Source organism: Homo sapiens, chromosome 14 (genome assembly GCF_000001405.40).
Source record: "Homo sapiens chromosome 14, GRCh38.p14 Primary Assembly".
Taxonomy (NCBI): Eukaryota; Metazoa; Chordata; class Mammalia; order Primates; family Hominidae; genus Homo; species Homo sapiens.
This window is the reverse complement of record NC_000014.9, coordinates 81014863-81034838: the sequence shown is the minus strand read 5'-3', so window position 1 is coordinate 81034838 and position 19976 is coordinate 81014863. Positions and strand designations below refer to the sequence as shown.

The 19976-nt window shown below is 38.2% G+C and overlaps 1 protein-coding gene, 1 long non-coding RNA gene and 1 pseudogene across 6 annotated transcripts in view; 1 reads left to right on the top strand and 2 right to left on the bottom strand.

Annotated features, from left to right (window-relative positions):
- TSHR (thyroid stimulating hormone receptor) overlaps window positions 1-19976 on the bottom strand; it is a 190686-nt gene that overhangs the window by 111468 nt on the left and 59242 nt on the right. The window lies entirely within an intron of this gene.
- The window catches only part of TSHR-AS1 (TSHR antisense RNA 1), a 156341-nt gene that overhangs the window by 135568 nt on the left and 797 nt on the right, over window positions 1-19976 (top strand). The window lies entirely within an intron of this gene.
- Window positions 1860-2365, bottom strand: NMNAT1P1 (NMNAT1 pseudogene 1; annotated as a pseudogene).

Here is a 19976-nt window from a genome sequence, read left to right as displayed (position 1 = left end):
TGAAATAGAAATTGCAAAAAGGCAAATTATTATGTTTTCATTAGAAATTTAACTTTAGTCCTGTTTCTGTCATAGGACAATTTTCGCAAACCCCAAAACGATTCTATAAAAAGCTATTTCTGGTCTTTCTGCTTTAGCAATTGGTGAAATTTCCACAAAATTTTAATCAGTGGAAAACCATGTAACAAGCATGTGTTTTTAACATGAAGCTATGACTAATTATTTGAGAATACTACTTTAGGTTAAACTTCATACAAAAGGGCAAGAAGAAAAAAATATGAGAAAACAGACCCTTTTTCTGCTTAAATTCACAAATGGCAGATTCACAGTTGGCTGGAACAGAAACAGCAGGGCCCTTCAGAAACTTCACAGTTTTAAAAAATGAGTTCTCACTATTTTGCCCAGGCTGGTGTCAAACTCCTGGGCTCAAGCGATCCTTCTGCTCCAGCCTCTCAGGTAGATGGGACTACAGAGCATGTGCCACTGCACCCCACTTAGATCTTCTGATTAAGCTATCAATAAAGGCTAAGAGCATTCAGACATAAAATCCTTGAATAGACTTCTCATTCTCTGTGGTTCTCTCACTTCAAGGTAACATGATGTCAACTCTGAAATTGTTTCTGAAGATAAAGAGAGGGTGGATGACCAAGGCTAGAGCATGACCCATAACAAGGAAAAGTAACTGTGTATAAAGTATAAGGCAGCAGGTCTCTACCTCTGGTAGGCATCAGAAAACTTGCATACTTTTCTAAACATATGAGGGCTTGGACTTCACTTCCTACTTCTAAAGAGGAAGCTCCAGGCCGATAGGTCTTGCCAAACTTTAGTCAGCAATTGTGATGTGTGCCACAGAGAACTAACTATTGGTACAATGTTTCTGCCAGGCATATGCACAACCTTTATTTTGCATAACTGGAGATGATTTATCAATGGTGCATTTTACAAGATCACCACTATAAGAATTCCTTCCTTTGTCTACCCTAGCTGCAGATTACCCACAGCAGGCATGCATAAAATGTCAATTCTCTTCATAACCTAAATTAGAATTTTAAGTGAACTTTTGCTTTTCACACTTTGCTTCTTTTATGTGGTAGAGCTAGGCTGTACTTTTTGATTTCTTATTTGTAGCTAGTTTCACTGAAAATTCTTCTGGTTTTTGTGTGCTGCTAAGCTCTTGGTTTAAAGATAAAGAGAATTGTACATTTTTTTTTTTTTTTTAGAAAAAGACCATATGGAAAACATTCATCTTAGCAACTTCTGATAAAAAGAAAAAAAAAAAAACCCTGATTTTAACTTACCACTGATTTTTACTAAACTTTTAATCTTTAGTTTATGCAACAGGACCACAATTTCTTTTCCCAGTTATTAACACCCAGATTGTTTCAAACCCTGAAAGGAAAGTGCAAAACATCATGCTGCAGAATTTCTATGCCTTAGCTTCTGCAGTGTTTCTCTGTAAAGTGGCCAGGATGGCCCCTGTCATTCACTTTCGGAGCTGTCTTCACTGTCTTCACTCTCGGAGTGTCTTCACTCTTGGAGCTGTACAAATTATGCTTTTCGATGTATTCTTGGACAAGATCTAGTACCAAGTAGTGGATGCTCTGGCCCCTTCTGAGGGCTCTTCAGATTTTTGTGGATGAGATATCATTAGTGATCCATTCATTCACCACATGAATGTTGCTCCAGTGTTTCCATAGCACATCAGATTCATAGATGAATTTCTGAGCAGCATTTCCAGCTTGAGTAATGCATATGAGCCCATAGTCTGCCATGATTTGGGTGATGTCTTCACTCTTCCAGAAATTGGGAACACCAAAGGACTCCAGTAAATCTGCCCCACACAGCAGCTTGACTTTTGGTGCACCTTTTGTTTTTGGCTCTAGGGATCTCTTTTGACTAGAAGCTTGTCTTTGTTCAGCTCATGGAATTCCTCTTTCGTCCAGGCCTTTCTAGTGTAGGTGAGTTCTGCTGTTGATCACAGTCACTAGCCTCCAGTTTATCTTGATAGTATCTTAGCATCTTAACAGCCTCTATCCACTCCTTCTGAAAATTTTTCCATGTATCAACTTCCACCAATTTGGAATTCTTGGTGGCAAGTTCTGCCATGATGACCTGGTGATGGGCAGGCATGAGTCCCTTCTTCTTGTATGCATCACCAACAGGAGAGATTATGCCTTCGACAACTCTCTATCTTCCTGTTCAATTCATGCAGTCCTTGGCTAGTTCAAACAACCTGAGGTGCATGTTGGTGACAGGATTGAAGGAGCCACAAGCAAGGAGAACCACTACAGTCTTCTCTGAATTTTCCATGGTAAGAACTTGAATTTGTTGATCTAAATGGAAAACTCTGACAACTCCCTTGTTGCTTTTACAAGGGAAATTCTTTGAACCTGAAGTGTCTTGCAAGGTAGGCGATTGGAACCATTTTGACCAGTGTGTCAACAGTCTTCTCTAAGGTGGGCTAGAAAAATGGTTTCATATCCAAATTGTAACTCTTTTCCATGCTCCTGCATTTGACACCTTCCCTCAAGGCATGTCTGGATGCAGTTTTCCTCAAAGACCCTCTTGGCCTCACTAGGAAAAACCTCAGGAAGCCTGTGGTAGGAACAGTTGAGGGAGAAAATACCCCCACCCATGGATGTCTCAGGCTGCTCAAGTGGAAGTTTGTTTGGTTCTTTTTAATGATATCTATCTCTTTGTTCAATTTCTCATACAGATCATAAATTATCTTCCCAATGTATTTGAAATGTCTATCTATGTTCTCTTGTATCTGAGTTTCCTTAAGATTCATAAATTTCTATTTCTTTGTGTTAAGTAACTGGGGAATCACTGTGCTTATTTGGCAGTGTCGTGTTTCTTGTGTCCCTCTGTTGATACCTATGCATCTGGTGGAAGAATTGCCTCTTCCAGTTTTATACAGTAGCTTCCAGAGGGGAAGACTTTCACCTGAAGGTGTGTCCTAGGGAGTCAGTTGGGTAGAGTGCATTGGCTTTGGTTCTGGGTGAGGACAGTAGTGTAGCCTCTCTGAAGTTTCTATAGTCAATGTCAGTGATGCCTGTAAGTGCCTCTGTGACCTAGGCTGCTAGAGTTTGTGTGGCTAGTTTGCTGGTTCTGGCGCTGCTTCCCTGTGGGCAAAGTGCCAGGCTGGTTCATGCAAGGGAGCATGGGATAGATCCACTGCCTCTGTGGTTACTCTCCTGGGCGCAGGTTGCTAAGCTAGTTTGCACACGAAGGATCACAGGGATAATACCTACCTTTAAAATCTGAAACAAGACATCCTAATGGTGTTCTAGAGTACCAAAGTGCAAATAAATAAGAAACAACATAGATTTTCCCTGAAAATATATTTATTTCTTCAAGTTAAAGCCTCATGTTTTTTTCTAAATATTAAATAATAATTCCTAGACAATACATATTTTTTTTACCATGCCTCAAATTATTGTTCAATTAAAAATAACTTTTTCCATAAACTTCTTTATCAAAATATAAACAAAGATACCCAGTCAGAGCCTAGGGTCACGCTGTCTCCTATGTGTGTAGTTCCTTCATATGTATGACTGTAGGATCACAAAGTATAATTTCATGCCAAGAGTAGGATGGTAGCATGGAAGAAACCCATACTTTTCTAAGCATAATGCTGTGTATGTCACCAACAGGCCAGCTTTCCATCTCCCCTTCCTCCGGTGCAGGAGAGTGAACAGATTTATAAGAACTAGGGTTTATGCAGGTCATCAAGGGATACTCAAATCTGTGGAAGGAAACCCTCGAGATTTCCTGACTGTTTTATTAATTGAGGCAACCAGTCAGAGCATGCTAGTTCCCATTATACCGCAGCTTTTACAGAGAGGTCTAAAGTCTTATCTTGTTGTGATTTTATATGTAAAAGGCATTAAAACATGGTATATGCCCTGGCAAACCTCCATTATAATGAAAAAATGTCATGACCAAAAAGGAACATTTGCCCCATGTGTGCTATATTCAGAATGCATTTCCTACTGACAATCTTATTGGTTAAAATAAAAATAAAGCCACATACATATTTTCTCCTGACAATCCTCTCAATTAAAAAAATAATAAAAATGAAACCACATGATTTTCCAGTTTGAATGAAAAAGACTAAGTGGATGAGAAGTCCAAATGCATCTGTATCTGGGAGGTCATACTCAATTCCATTCAGCATTATCAAAAACACTCGTCAGTAAAGTCTATCCGATCTAGAAAAGTTTGTTTCACAAAATGAAAAACTACTGGTAAGAGAATTTAATTAGCATTTATTTCCCTGCCTGATTTTTAAAAGGTGCTTGTATTTGTCTTAATTCATTGAAAGAGAGAAAAAAAGATTAATACTTAAATATTTCATCCTATATAATAATTCAAGCAGAATTTCCTTTAAAATTCAAGGCCAAACTTCAGATTTTTAAAGAAAATATATTTTGATGTGATAACCTTAGGCTGAATCCTTGAGGTAAAAAATGGATTTCACCAAAAACAATACAATTTTTGCTTGAAATTAAGTGAAGGATCAGTTTTCTGTGGTCTTTTCGCCAAGAGACAAGAAAAAAAATGAACTAGGTTCATTTTTAAATTCTGTTTTAGTATCAGAGAGCAGGCAATTGAAAGTTCTTTGTGAAAGTGACTTCTTTGTTTTCCCTAAGGGCTCTTGAATGTTCATACTGGAACACTAGTGACCTTGTTTATACCAATATTGTATCAGCCACCATCAACTCTCTTCTGTGCTGCAATAAATATGCTCCAGTAATTGTAGGTCCTAAGTTTCTAGGGCCTATCAACACAATTCCTTAAACATCAAGAACCTGGTAGTTACGGCAAAAGAGGCCTTTGTGCAGAACTCTCACTGAACCCAGCATAATTCCTAGCATATCCATCCCATACTGTAGTCCAAAGTGCAGTGTTAAGTAATTACACAATATAAATTATTTTGAGGCAGTTCTAGTGAATTATTTTTATAGCGCTGAGGCTTGGAAATTCCAGACAACGTTGGGCAGTCTCAACAAACTATGTAATAGACAACTGGCAAGGATACAGAATCCATGGGTATATTTTTTTAAGAAAGGCCAAGTTATTATTTCACCCTCTTTTCTTTAGAAAAAATGTCAAATGCTTTGATTAACTGATAGGTCACCAGGTGGTCTGAAGAACAGTTTCCCAGAATGGCACACACTCATTTCTACCACATAGTACAGAAATTTTTTATTTCCATAAAGTAAGCATAAAGAATTAGATTGATTTGGGTTTTTTTCTCATTAACACATTTTCAAACTGAAAATCAAGTCACATATATTTTTACTTATTTTCTCTCCATCATAAATAAACTGCTGGGGGTGCAGATATGGAACTGTAACAATCCAAATCAGGACAGCTCTCTTTTCGCTCCCCTTCCATGTCTCCCACTTTTCTCCCTTTCTCCCTTCACTATCATGCTATATGATCTAAACTCCTAGGGTATGAAATATATGAGAAGCTAATATATATAATCCTCAAAAGTAAATCATAGAACAGTTTTATAACACTGAGTTAAATAAGATGAGGAAGGGAAAATATGTCCTCATAATTAAAAAAAACCCTGAAGATTCCTATTGCTGAAGTAAGGAATGCCTTCTCAAAGATTTGGAAGTAAATTTTACATGGGAAAAGGGAGTTAAATAACTCTGGGGAAATCATGATGGCCTTTGTTATGGTTTTTAATTCTTTTAAAGGTTACAGAATGATTCATATTTTCTATTTCTTCATATGTCAGTTTTGGTAAATTGTTTTTTATAGAAATATATCCATTTTATTAAAAATTTCAAATTTAGAGACATAAAGTTAATATATTTAAATAATATAATTTAAAAATATCTATAGGCTCTGTGATAATAGACTCCTTTTTTATTTCTGATTCTTTATTTCCTCAATCAACCTTACCAAAGGTTTATCAATTTTATTAGTCTTTTCAAAGAATCCATTTTGGGTTTAAAAAAATTTTCTCTATTAAAAATTGTAAAATGTCTGATTATTCATATTCTGAATCTCCTGTGCATTCATTTCTGTTGCTGGTATTTCTCTCAATTTTTTATTACATCATCTTCTCTTCTCATTTGTCTGGTTACTTTTTATTGTGTGCAAGATGTTGTATACAAAAAGTGTTGAAATCATTTGAAGCCTAAAATTGTATTTCCTGGTAGGATTTCCATTTGCTCATGGCAGTTGGTTAGGGGAACTAGCAATCTTATATTACCGTAATCCAATTAGAGGAACTAAGATGGTTGAAAACTGGACTTCTGTCCCAAGTTTTTTTTCCAGCTACCCCTTACTACTAGATGGAGCCCTTTGGGATCCCAACTCAATGTAGGGGGTTTATCAGAGATCCTTTCTTGATAGATTTTTTTTTCTTACTGTCTAGCCCTATAGTGCTGCCAAACCTCTGCTCAACTATTCCTTGAATCACGTTCCTAGGATTTACCTCTCTGATTTCCCTTTTTCTCCTCTTTGTTTCATAATTGTTTACTATTTTGCGATTAAATTTTTTTGAATCCTGCTTTGCTAATTTTTCTTACCAGGAGTGGTTTATGTGATGTAAACCAGCATTCCTGGAAGGATAAGTTCATTACACTTTGTTTTTAATATTTTACCATTGGTCTGTGATTTCTAAGGTCAATTTTTCATAATATGAAAGGCTTATGATCTACTTGAGTTCCTCTAGTAATTTGTTACTTTGTAAGATATAACTTTATGTATCGTAAGGTCTCTCTTCCTTTAAACAGTACCTATTAATTTCTCACTATGAATGATGCTTTTAGAATATGTCCAGTTACTTCCATCTTCTTGCTTTTCTTTTCTGCTACACTCATTTTGGTTAGTTATGTGCTTAATCTTAGATCAGCCTTAGTCTCAGATCAGCCTTAAACAATATATTTAAAAATGAGAAGATTGGTACTTAAATTATCTCCCATTTTCATTTCCCTCTCGCTCCTGATTTTTGTTAGTTATATTATTTTTATAAAGGGATAACTTATTACATTTCTATTCTGTTCTGCACACCCTAATTTCCTGAAGTCATTTTAACCTTAGTTTTAAATTTAAAATGACTTAATGCTCATAGCTCATCATTTATATCTTGGTTGACCTAGTTGGCTAACAGCTTTTTTAAAGCTCATGTAGGTTTTTTTCCCCTACGTTTTACACATTTGAAAAAGTTATTGCACAGATGGACAGAAGAAACAAGCCTGGTGTGTCTGGGTATATAATTTAGGGGTCATACTTTGTTACCCTGAGAACTTGATGATTTCATTATTCCTAGCACTGAATGGAGAGAAATTTGAAGCTAGCTTTATTCTTTTGCTTTTCAGATAAGATATTTATGCCCTCACCTTTTTTAGATACTCTTGGGTTCTTTATTTTTCTTTGAAGTTCCTTAACTTTACTAGATTATGCATGGAAATTAATAGATATTTATGTTTGCTGGAATATTGTGTGTCCTTTAATTCTACAGATTCAAATCTCTTATTTCAGGAGTTTTTTGATATAACTTTGGATATTTTTGTTCTCCATTTTTTTCTGATTTTGTCTTTAAAAACAAGAATATTGAATGTTTTACATATAATTTCTAATAAAAATCCAATGTGTTGTACCTGTCAATTTCCCCTGTGTTCTCGATCTACAATTTTTTCCTACTCTAGTCTTTTTTCTTTTCTATTTCATTTTGCTCCACTTTCTCAAGATGTCATGAATGTCTTCACTTATATTTTCAACATGGGCAACATTGCTGTTCCCATTAAGGCCTTTCTTTTTTTTTTTTTTTTGAGATGGAGTTTCACTCTTGTTGCCCAGGCTGGAGTGCAGTGGCGTGATCTTGGCTCACTGCAACCTCCGCCTCCCAGGTTCAAGTGATTCCCCTGCCTCAGCCTCCCAAATAGCTGGGATTATAGGTGCCCGCCACCACACCCAGCTAATTTTTGTATTTTTAGTAGAGACGAGGTTTCACTGTGTTGGCCAGGCTGGTCTTGAACTCCTGACCTCAGGTGATCTGCCTGCCTCTACCTTCCAAAGTGCTGGGATTACAGGTGTGAGCCACTGTGCCTGGCCCAAAGCTTTTATTTCTTTGATGTTTTTATTTTGCTCTTTTACTTCTATCCCAAGATCTACCAAATACCTTTTTTAACATTTTTTATTGCCTTATCTTTTTTTAAATTTGAGACTTCTTATCTTCACTCTGGAGTCCTAACACAGAAAGGTCACCTTATTCATTAAGTTTTATGAACTCACAGATAACTTTGGTCACAAGTTTTACCTTCTCTAGGGCAATAAAAATATTTTTGGTGGTTGCCCTTTTTATGATTTTTATTTGTTTTGTTGCCTTGCTTCTTTATGTAAATAGGGTTATTTTTGCATAAATCCTATGTTAATTCCTTTTCAATAATGAAGGGATTTTTCTCTAGAGGTGACAGGGTAATGTTTGCATGTTTGCATGCGTGTGCATATACACACACACATACACACAAGTATGTCGATTGTGTGGTTTAGCTGTAATCTTTCTTTACTCATCCATCCATCATACAAATATTTATTGTGCACCTGCTTTGTGCCAGGTACTGCTCTAGGTTTGGAGAATACAGCAATAGATAAATCAGAAAAAAAATTTCTGCCTCCCTGGAGTTTACATTCAATGGCGGATAAAGATTGACAGCCTCAAGCTGCTTATCATTCAGTTTCTCATCTGGTCTTCCAAACAGATAGTTTCTTGTAGAGTTAGCTTGTCTGCATGTGTCTTCATTTGTCATCACATCCCCTGCATTGGAGGGGTTTCTTGTGGGGTTTCAGGAGCTCCTTGAGGCCATCCATCTTGTTCTATCATGTCTTACCCCTTGATGTGTATCACTTACTTCAAAGACCTCTGCACTGTCATCCTTTGAGGTCCAGTAACCATCTTCTTTCAGTTTCTTGCCTCTCTCTGGTCCAAATTCACTATACTTGCCAGCCTTTCTTCATATATATTATGGTTGAAGTTAATGAAGATTTTCTAATAATGACAGATGGGAGTGTGTACTGCTAAATTTCCTTGTTGCTTTTGGCTTTTTTCCAGAAAGCAGTTTAGGGATCAAGATGTCTTTAGTATCCTGAAACTAAATATTTCATCCTTTCACTTTCAAAGTGAGGGAACTCAAGCCTAGAAGGTTCAGTGATTTATTGAATGTCTCACATATAATTCAATCCTAGAACCAAAGTTTCTGGGCTCCCAGTTTAATGTATTGTCTATTATATTTTATTTTTATGTGAAAGATACATAAATATCAAGGAAACAAACCAATATTATAGAATATCATAGAAACAGCTTCAGATTTGTCCAAAACCAACTTCCCATCTCTTCTCATGTTAAAAAAAAAATAACTACATATTTATACTGATTTATCCATTGGAATAATTAGGGTTCAAGTCTATCTTTGAACTGCAAGTTTAATTATATACAATTTTAAAAAATAAACATATTGAATCCTTTTTTGGAGATTTGCAACAATTTTTAAAAACTTGCAGTTGAACCATATGGCCTGGAAATATAAAAAGAAATTAAGAAAAAAGCTAGGGATATACTCATCTGTTTTATCATACATTATGATAAAATACATACAAATCTATTATAAAAAGTTAAAATTTCTCAAAACTTTCAAACCCAAATACAGACTGCACATGTACCATTCACAGTCAAGAGAAATGTGAGCAAACATAAAGTATTAAATCATTACTGCATACAATTAACTGTACATACTGTATTACTGCAAAAATGTCATAGCCAGCTCCTGTTGCTTTTGTGCTAAGCTCAGGTGTTGCAAGTATCTGCTTAAAATTTCATGTCACTAATTATCTCTGTATAAGCAGTTTGTGTCTCCAGTAAATTCCATATGACAGTAAAAAGTGACCTCTCACTGTTCTCACATATTTTTCATTATATTTAGTGCAATACTGTAAACCTTGAATAACACCATGGGATCTATACAAAGTGCCATTAGTGTTGCTGAAAGTGCTCCCAAGAAGCAGAGAAAAATCATGACAGGAAAAAGTTGAACTGCTTGATGTTTACCATAGATGGAGGTCTGCAGCTGCGATTGCCTGCCATTTCAAGATAAATGAATCTAGTGCAAGGCCCATTGTTAAAAAAGAAAGAAAATTCATGAGGCTGTCACTGCAGCTACACCAGCAGGTATAAAAACTTATACTTTTTGCAAAATACCTTTTTATCTCATATTGAAAATGGAGCTTTTATGTCGGTGCAGAATTGCTATAAGAAAGGCATACCTGGCCAGGCACGGTGGCCCAAGCCTGTAATCCCAGCACTTTGGGAGGCCAAGGTGGGCAGATCATGAGGTCAGGAGATCGAGACCATCCTGGCCAAAATGGTGAAACCCTGTCTCTACTAAAATACAAAAAATTAGCCAGGCATGGTGGCGTGCACCTGTAGTCCCAGCTACTCGGGAGGCTGAGGCAGAAGAATCGCTTGAACCCGGAAGGTGGAGGTTGCAGTGAGCCGAGATTGCGCCACTGCACTCCAGACTGGTGACAGAGCAAGACTCCATCTAAAACAAACAAACAAACAAACAAAAAAAAACCATGCCTAAATACTCTATTATTATTTGAAAAAAAGTGAAGTCATATAACAACTTAAAGTAAAAGGAAGTTAAAGGAACTAAAGCTGAAGAATTTAATGCCAGCAAAAGATGGTGTGATAGTTTTAGAAAGATGTTTGGTTTTAAAAATGTGACGATAACAGGAGAATCAGGTTTTGCCAACCAATAGGCAGCAGATGAGTTCCCAGGCACCATTAAGACAATCACTGAGAAGAATATCTGCCTAAATAGATTTTAATTTTTTAAAATTTTAGGGGGTACATAGTAGGTGTACTAAATAGGTTTTTAATGCAAATAAAGGTGCCCTGTTCTGCAAAAAAATGCCATGAAGGACATTTATTAGTAAGAAAAAGAAGTCAGCACCAGGATTTAAGGCAGGAAGAGATGGGCTACCTCTACTGTTTTGTGCAAATGCAGTTCGGTTTATGATAAGGACTGCCCTTATCTATAAAGCAGCTAACCCCTGAGCCTTGAAGGGAAAAGTTAAACACCACCTGCCAATCTTTTGGTTGTACAAGAAGGCCTGTACAATGAGAACTCTTTTTCTGGATTGACTCCATTTATGCTTTGTCCCTCAAGTCAGGAGGTACCTTGCCAGTAAGGGACTGCCATTTAAGGTTCTTTTGATATTGAACAATGCCCCTGGCCACCCAGAACTCCATGAGTTCAACACTGGAGGTGCTGAAGTGGTCTACTTGCCCCCAAACACACATCTTTAATTTAGTCTTTACATCAGGGTCCTAAAGACCTTTAAGGCTCATTACACCCAGTACCCTGGAAAGGATTATCAACACTATGTAAGAAAACCCTGATGATGTGGTTTGGCTGTGTCCCCACCCAAATTTATCTTGAATTCCCATGTGCTGTGGGAGGGACTCAGTGGAAGGTAATTGAATCATGGGGGTGGGTCTTTCCCCTTATCTCAAGCCAGTAGGCTTGAGACTCCCCAAAGGGCTGATGTTTTAGTTTGAGTCAGAAGACAGATAAAGACTGATGTCCCAGATCAAGCAGTCAGGCAGGAAGAGTTTTCCTTTCCATTTATAGCCTATTCAGGTCAATCTGCTTTACTCAGTGTCTTAGGCCATTGGGCTGCTATAACAGAATATGTTAAACTGAGTAATTTATGGACAATAGAAATTTATTTCTCACCTTCTAGAAACTGGGAAGCCCAAGATCAAGGCACCAAGAGATCTCCACATGCACACAGCAAACTGAGTGTCTGGTGGGGACTTGCTCTTTGGTGCCTTCTAGCTGTGTCCTTAGATGGCAGAAGGAGCACATAGACTTCTTGGGCTCTTTTCTAAGGGCAGTAATCTCCTTAATAAGCTCATTAATGAGCGCTCCACCTTCATGACCCAATCACCTCCCAAACGCCCCACATCTTTTTTTTTGTTCTTTTGAGATGAAGTCTCGCTTTGTCGCCCGGGCTGGAGTGCAGTGGCATGATCTTGGCTCCCTGCAACCTCTGCCTCCCGGGTTCAAGCGATTCTTGTGCCTCAGCCTCCCAAGTAGCTGGGACTACAGGTATGTGCCACCATGCCCGGCTAATTTTTGTATTTTTAGTAGAGATGGGGTTTCACCATGTTGGCCAGGATGGTCTCGATCTCCTGACCTTGTAATCCACCTGCCTCAGCCTCCCAAAGTGCTGGTATTACAGGTGTGAGCCACCGTGCCCGGCCCCAAACACCCCACATCTTAATACCACCATATTAAGGGTTAGTTTCAATAAATGAATTCTGGGGAGAGGAGGACACAAACATTCAAATCATAGCACTCAGTCTGCTGATGCAAATGTTAATCTCATCGAAGACACCCCCTCAGCCACAGCCAGAAAACTCTTTGACCAAATATCTGGAAACACTGTGGCACACAACACAAGTTGACACATACAATTATCATGCCCACAGTAATTACTGTAATTTTTTTGTTGTTTGTTTTGTTTTTGTTTTTGAGACGGAGTCTCGCTCTGTTGCCCAGGCTGGAGTGCAGTGGCACTATCTCGGCTCACTGCAAGCTCCGCCTCTCGTGTTCACGCCATTCTCTTGCCTCAGCCTCCCAAGTAGCTGGGACTACAGGCACCCACCACCACGCCTGGCTTTTTTTTTTTTTTTTTGTATTTTTAGTAGAGACGGGGTTTCACCATGTTAGCCAGGATGGTTTTGATCTCCTGACCTCGTGATCTGCCCACTTCCGCCTCCCAAAGTGCTGGGATTACAGGCGTGAGCCACCGCACGCGGCCGATTACTGTAATTTTAAAAGCCTACTTTCAAGTCCATGCATTGGATGCCATGTGCCAACTATTGAGTAATGTCAGTTGTTGATAACTGAGGTTGTAAACTCAGAAAAGAATATAGGTAGGTCAGCACTGAAAGTGCAGCCACATATTTACTGATGCTGTTACCTATGAAATTTCTTTTTTATCATGACTCAGATCATACATTTTACATATTTAAAAGTGTGCTGAGTGGTTTCAATAAGCCGTAAGAACTGTAATAAAAAGAAATAATTGATCCAAAACATTTTAAATTAATACATTTCTTTCCAGAGTGGTAAAGCAATAAATGCAATTAAACAATGTCCATTGAATATAAGGTAGAATCAGGGTCTCAGTATCTAACAACAAACCTACCATGTAACATAATTTCCTTAGGGGCAAAAGAACATGATTTACTTCACCTTGCTCTCCTTCTTTCCCTGCCTACTGTCCTCTCTTCTCTTTCTTATGCCTTTCCTTTCTCCCTTTCCCTATTACAAACAGTAGATTTGGGGAAAACAAATATGGAACAAACCCAGAATCTTTTTTCCCCTTATCCTAGTAATGAAGACAAGCAGGTAAAACATCTAACCAGTGTAAGATGGTGGGATGAGCTTTTCAGTGGAATAGTAATTAATTAGGGTGATAGTAGACTTTGCAGGGGAGGGAACACTTAAGCAGAGCCTCAGTGGTTGATCAGGGACTCCTCAGCCAAGGGGGACATTCTAGAGCAGCGGTTCCCAACCTTTTTGGTACCAGGGACCAGTTTCATGGAAGACAATTTTTCCATAGACTGGCAGGGTCGGGGGCATGGTTCTGGGATGAATCAAGCATATTACATGTATTGTGCATGTTATTTCTATTATTATTACATGGTAATATATAATGAAATAATTATGCAACTCACCATAATGTGGAGTCAGTGGGAGCCCCGAGCTTGTTTTCCTGCAACTAGATGGTCCCATCTGTGGGTGATGGGAGACAGTGACACCCAAAGTGTGTTGCTTATGTCCAGTCTACTCTGTAATCTCATTTTGGTTGCTGTCACTGCAGAAAACCCTGCTTCACAAAGATAGGATGTTGGAAATGGAAGCAGGCTTTTCAGAGCTTTTGTAGCAATCTCAGGATATTCTGCCTTGACTTCAATCCAGAACATATGGAGATTTGAAATTGTCTGAAACATACTTTTAAGGATACCAGATACAGCTGTACAATTGAAGTACATCAACTCACTTGCCACTATAAAGCTTGCCACCAGATGCAGCTTACTTGTCACATGTCACTCACTTTTAGGGTTTTGATATGAGTCTGCAAGCAATTGATTTATTATGGTTTCTATGCAGTCAAGCCTCTCTGCTGATGTTAACCTGTATTTGCAGCTGCTGCTGAGTGCTAGCATCGCTGCCTCAGTTCCACCTCAGGTCATCAGGCATTAGATTCTCTTAAGGAACACGCAGTCTAGGTCCCTCGCATGTGCAGTTCACAATAGGGTTCACTTTCCTATAAGAATCTAATGCCACTGCTGATCTGACAGGAGGCAGAGCTCAGGTGGTAATGTGAGGGATGGGGAGCAGCTGTAAAATACAGATGAAGCTTTGCTCACTCACCTGCCACTCACTTCCTCTATGTGGCCTGGTTTCTAACAGACCACGGACAGGTACTGGTTCATGGCCCCAGGGTTGGGGACTCCTGTTCTAAAAGGAATTGCTAATTCCCCACAGTCTTTTAGAACATTTTGGCTATTTCTAGCACCTGACACATAGTAGCTGCTCATTCAGTCATTTATCCATTCAACAATGTTTGTTAAATATCTTTTATGTGCCTAAGTGTAACACACACAGACAGAGACACATATGTTTAATAAATATATGTTGTTTTGTTTTACACTGTTGGTAGGAGTGTAAATTAGTTCAACCATTGTGGAAGACAGTGTGGCGATTCCTCAAGGATCTAGAACTAGAAATACCATTTGACCCAGCAATCCCATTACTGGGTATATACCCAAAGGATTATAAGTCATTCTACTATAAAGACACATGCACATGTATGTTTATTGCAGCACTGTTCACAAGAGTAAAGACTTGGAACCAACCCAAATGCCCATCAATGATAGACTGAATAAAGAAAATGTGGCGCACATACACTATAGAATACTATGCATCCATAAAAAAGGATGAGTTCATGTCCTTTGTGGGGACATGGGTGAAGCTGGAAACCATCATTCTCAGCAAACTAACACCAGAACAGAAAACCAAACACTGCATGTTCTCACTCGTAAGTGGGAGTTGAACAATAAGAACACATGGACACAGGGAGGGGAACATCACACACCGGGGCCTGTTGGGGGGTGGGAGGCTAGGGGAGGGATAGCATTAGGAGAAATACCTAATGTAGATGACGGGTTGATGGGTGCAGCAAACAGCCATGGCACATGTATACCTATGTAACAAACCTCCACATTCTGCACATGTACCTCAGAACTTAAATACAAAAAAAAAAAAAAAAAAAGAATTGATGATTTGCTTGCACTAACATATCCACATTTTCTGGCCTGTTCAATCTTGCTTATATCTTGGCAAAACTGGAGTCACCATCACTATAATTGCTCATGCAACCATTTTTTTTTTTTTTTGAGATAAAGTCTTGCTGTGTCACCCAGGCTGAAGTGCAGTGACATGATCTTGGCTCACTGCAACCTCTGCCTCCTGGGTTCAAGCGATTCTCCTGTCTCTGCCTCCTGAGTAGTTGGGACTACAGGTGCCCGCCACCAAGCCCAGCTGATTTTTGTATTTTTAGTAGAGATGGGTTTTGCCATGTTGCATGCCACCAATTTGAAGGGGGCCTATTCATGTTATATGATTTATCATATGTCTGGGGTTCAGGCAATTTGGTCATTCTGTTACAATTGCTTAAAAATGTTCATGTGCCTTTTTCTTTTCATTTCTTCTGCCTTTCAATCCACATCAAGTTTCCTTCTCATAAAATATTTCTTGTTATGTCTCTAGGGTCCTGACCTTTGTCTTCACGAGTAACATCTGCTTTCACTAAGTTGATCTGCAAGACACATCTAATCTTGGCTTTGCTCAATTTCTGAGTTGGTTAGATTTCAAAAGTTTTGAAATGTTTTCTGGGATTTTGCATGCATTTTTTCATAGGGTGACCAACTTTTCAGACTAGTTTCTCAAAGCCTATTTCACTTATTCATGTAGTGGGATTAGGACCAGCTTGAGTGCTATGTTCAGGAACTATGAGGAGGTCACAGCCATCAAAGGAGGAGGAGTGTTTTCTCCCACCATGACCCTGAATGCAGGTTCATTTCTAGGTAAAAGTTTTAGATAAGTAGGTTACATCTTCCTTTTCTTCCCTGTTCCCTGTACTCCCTTTCATAACTCCCTGGGGCTTTCCCTCCAACTCTTCGGTGCTCAGTGTCCCCCACACAGCACTTACCCATTTATTGTATGCCTGCATCCAGAAACAATTTAACTCTAAAACTGTGTTTCAAAATTACTTGCATCACTGCTTCCTCATTCGCTGTGTGTGGTTGCTCTACAATCTTTGGGAAAGCGAAAGTGGAATTAATTGACCCTACTGGATAACTGACTGATTTCATTATTTAAACTAAAATTCTCAGATATACCAAATGAAATAATTGGCAAAGTGAAGTGAAAGTATTCAGGCAGGTTAAGGAGTATATTTTGGAACAGCAAGACATGAAGTCATTTATTAATTTAAAGAACATTTATTGGGCGGCTTTCATGAACTAAGCTCTTTGTTAAGCAGAGGAGATGAATGACACTGGATTACATGGGCTAAAGAGAAAGAAAAGCCAGCAATTCAATAGAGTATGTTAGGTACTATTGTAATTCCTGCACTTTGGGATGCCGAGGTAGGTGGATCATTTGAGGTCAGGAGTTCGAGACCAGCCTGGCCAACATGATGAAACCTCATCTCTACTAACAATACAAAAAATTGGCCAGGTGTGGTGGTAGGTACCTGTAATCCCAGCTACTCAGGAGGCTGAGGCAGGAGAATCACTTTAACCCAGGAGGCGGAGCTTGCAATGAGCCGAGATCATGTCATTGTACTCCAGCCTGGGCGACAGAGTGACACTCCATTTCAAAAAAAAAAAAAAAAAAGATTATACAATGCGGCATTTGGGGTGATCAGGCTTCCCAGGGGAAGTGACAGCACAAATGAGATGTGGAGGCCTGAGTCATGGCTATTTTTGTGTATGGTGCTTATAAATTCCTTTCTAACTTATACTTTTCCCTCTTTGGTGCAGAGGTTCAATCACGAGAGTACCTAAGAATTGCCTAGGCTATTTGTTTGGAATGTATCTTCTCAGACCCCATTCCCAGTGTTCTGATTCCACTGGTTTAGAGTGTCTTCTGGGAACTTAAATTTTTAACAGACCCACAGGGCATTTGGGTACCAGCTGTTCTGGGGCCACGTTTTGAGAAATAAGACTCTGAAGTGCCAGGCGGATTGACATTAGCTTAAATTATGAAGTGGGTCAAGTTTTTCTTTGTGCACTCTCTCCACTCCTTACATACTCCTGGTGCCCTTGAGTTACTGGGAGCTCTACTGAGGTCCCTGTGGCCATTATCCTGGTGCCCAATCTGATCTTCCACCATGCAAACTTACCATCCTGTAATCACAGAATGTTAGAACAACATCAGAATTAGTTGAAATTTTTTAAATGGGCAAAAGCAAGGCATTGGCCACATTTAATCCCCTTCTAAGCTTACATCTGTGACCCCAAGTGCCCTTAAACCCATTTATGCCTAGTGTTCCATTATTGGAACGCTAAGCATGGGAGTTATTATATCTTACTGCTCAAGGTCATTGCAAGGTCTGATTGCAAAAATGCAAAAAATTGCAACCTCAGGCATAAATGTGTTAATATCCCATTGATTGTTAAATCCTATGTTCTGTTTATTTCCTCATCCCCTTGCTGTTCCCATTCCTTCTGTTGTTAAAATTTGTTGAGGTGACATTCACATGCTGGTTTCCAACACACATCTAACATTGTAACTGTGTTTGGATAAAACAAATCAAAACTTTTCTTTAATAAATTGATAGTCTTTTCAATAAGTGGTGTTAGGAAAACTGTATATCCACATACCAAAAAATGAAACTAGACCCCTATACTAGACACAAAAATCAACTCAAAATGGATTAAAAATCCAAACATAAGTCCTCAAACTAGAAGAAAACAGAAAGGAAAACCTCTTTGACATTGATCTTGAAGAAAACAATGGGGAAAAGCTGCTCATTAATGATATTTTAGATATGACCCCCAAAGCACAGGCAATAAAAGGAAGCAAACAAAAGGTGGAATTACATCAAATTAAAAAGCTTCTGCATAGCAAGGGAAACAACACAATGAAAAGGCAGCTCATGGACAAGGAGAAAATATTTGTGAACTATATATCTGGTGAGGGGCTAATATCCAGTATATATAAGAAACTCAACTCAATAGCAAGAAAACAAATAACCCATTAAAAATGGTCAAAGGACCTGGAAACACTCCTCAAAAGAAGACATACAGAAATACAAATAGCCAACAGAAACATTTAAAAATGCTCAACATCATTAATCAACAGGGAAACACAAATCAAAACCGTAGTGAGAGATCACCTCACATCTGTTAGGATGGTTATCAACACAAAGACGAGATAAATGTTGGTGAAGGTGTGGAGAAAATGGATCACTTGTGGACTGTTGGTAGGATTGCAAATTGGTACAGCCACTGTGGAAAGCAGCATGGAAGCCCCTGAAAAACTTAAAAATAGAGCCACCATATGATTCAGCAATCCCTCTTATGGGCATATATTCAAAGAAATGAAATCAGTATGTCAAAGAGATATCTGCATTCCCATGTTCATTGCAGCATTATTCACAATAGTCAAGATTTGGAATCAGCCAAAGTGTCCATCTACACATGAATGGATTTTTTTTAAGTGGCACATATACACAATAGAATACTACTCAGTCTTAAAAAAGAAAGAAATCCTGTCATTTGCAACAACATGGATGAAACTAGAGGACGTTATGTTAAGTGAAATTGGCCAGGTACACAAAGACAAATACCGCATGATCTCACTTATATGTAGAATCTAAAAAAATTGAACTACAGAAGCAGAGAGTAGAATGATGGTTACTGGTGAGGAGTGGGGGGATGAGGGGTTGGGGAAATGTTGGTGAAAGGATACAAAATTTCGGTTAGACAGGAGGAATAAGTTTAAGATATCTATTGTACAACATGGTAACTGTAGTTAATAACATTGTGTACTTGTAAATTTCTAAGGCAGCAGATTTTAAGTGCTCTCACCACAAAAAAATGATGAATATGTAAGGTAATGCATATGTAAATTAGCATCATTTAGCTATTCTACGATATATACATATTTCAAAGCATCACGTTGTACACCATAAATACATATATTTATTTTTCAATTTAAAAAATTAAAAATTTTTTGAAGAAGTGATATTCACATGCTGGATTTAGAACACGTATTTAATATTGTAACTATATTTGGTTAAAACAAACCAAAACTCTTGCCCGTCTTGAAAATTATGCATTAGAAATTTAATATAAAATGTTAAGTGGACAGTAATTACTTTTCCCCCTCCTTTTGTTCCCCCTTGCCACAAAACATAAGTATCATTTTCCCTTCAACTAGCCAACTTCTTTGTCAGCCTTAGGTTTACAGAGGAATTTTTCAAAGAAACTTTCTAGATACAGTGTAAAACTTCATGGCAAGAAAACTCAATGCTTATTTAGAGTTTCTCAAACAAAAGGATTTTGGTTGTTTGCAAAGTCCAATTTCTATGCTTCAAAAAATAACATGTGGCTTAGTGAGGTTTTGAGTTTATATCAAAACTCTGATCATGATCCTAATACTCAGAATCAGACCATTTCTGTATTCACACCACATAAACAGATTCTAAGAACTCTATCCCTGACACTCAAATCACCAGCCCATGGAATTGAAATGAAAATAAGAATCAGGTGAAGGTTTATTTTTAAGGAACATTCAATCCAAAACAAAGTTAAACTTAAAGTATAAATTCTGTTCTTCTGGACACTCGTGAAGTTT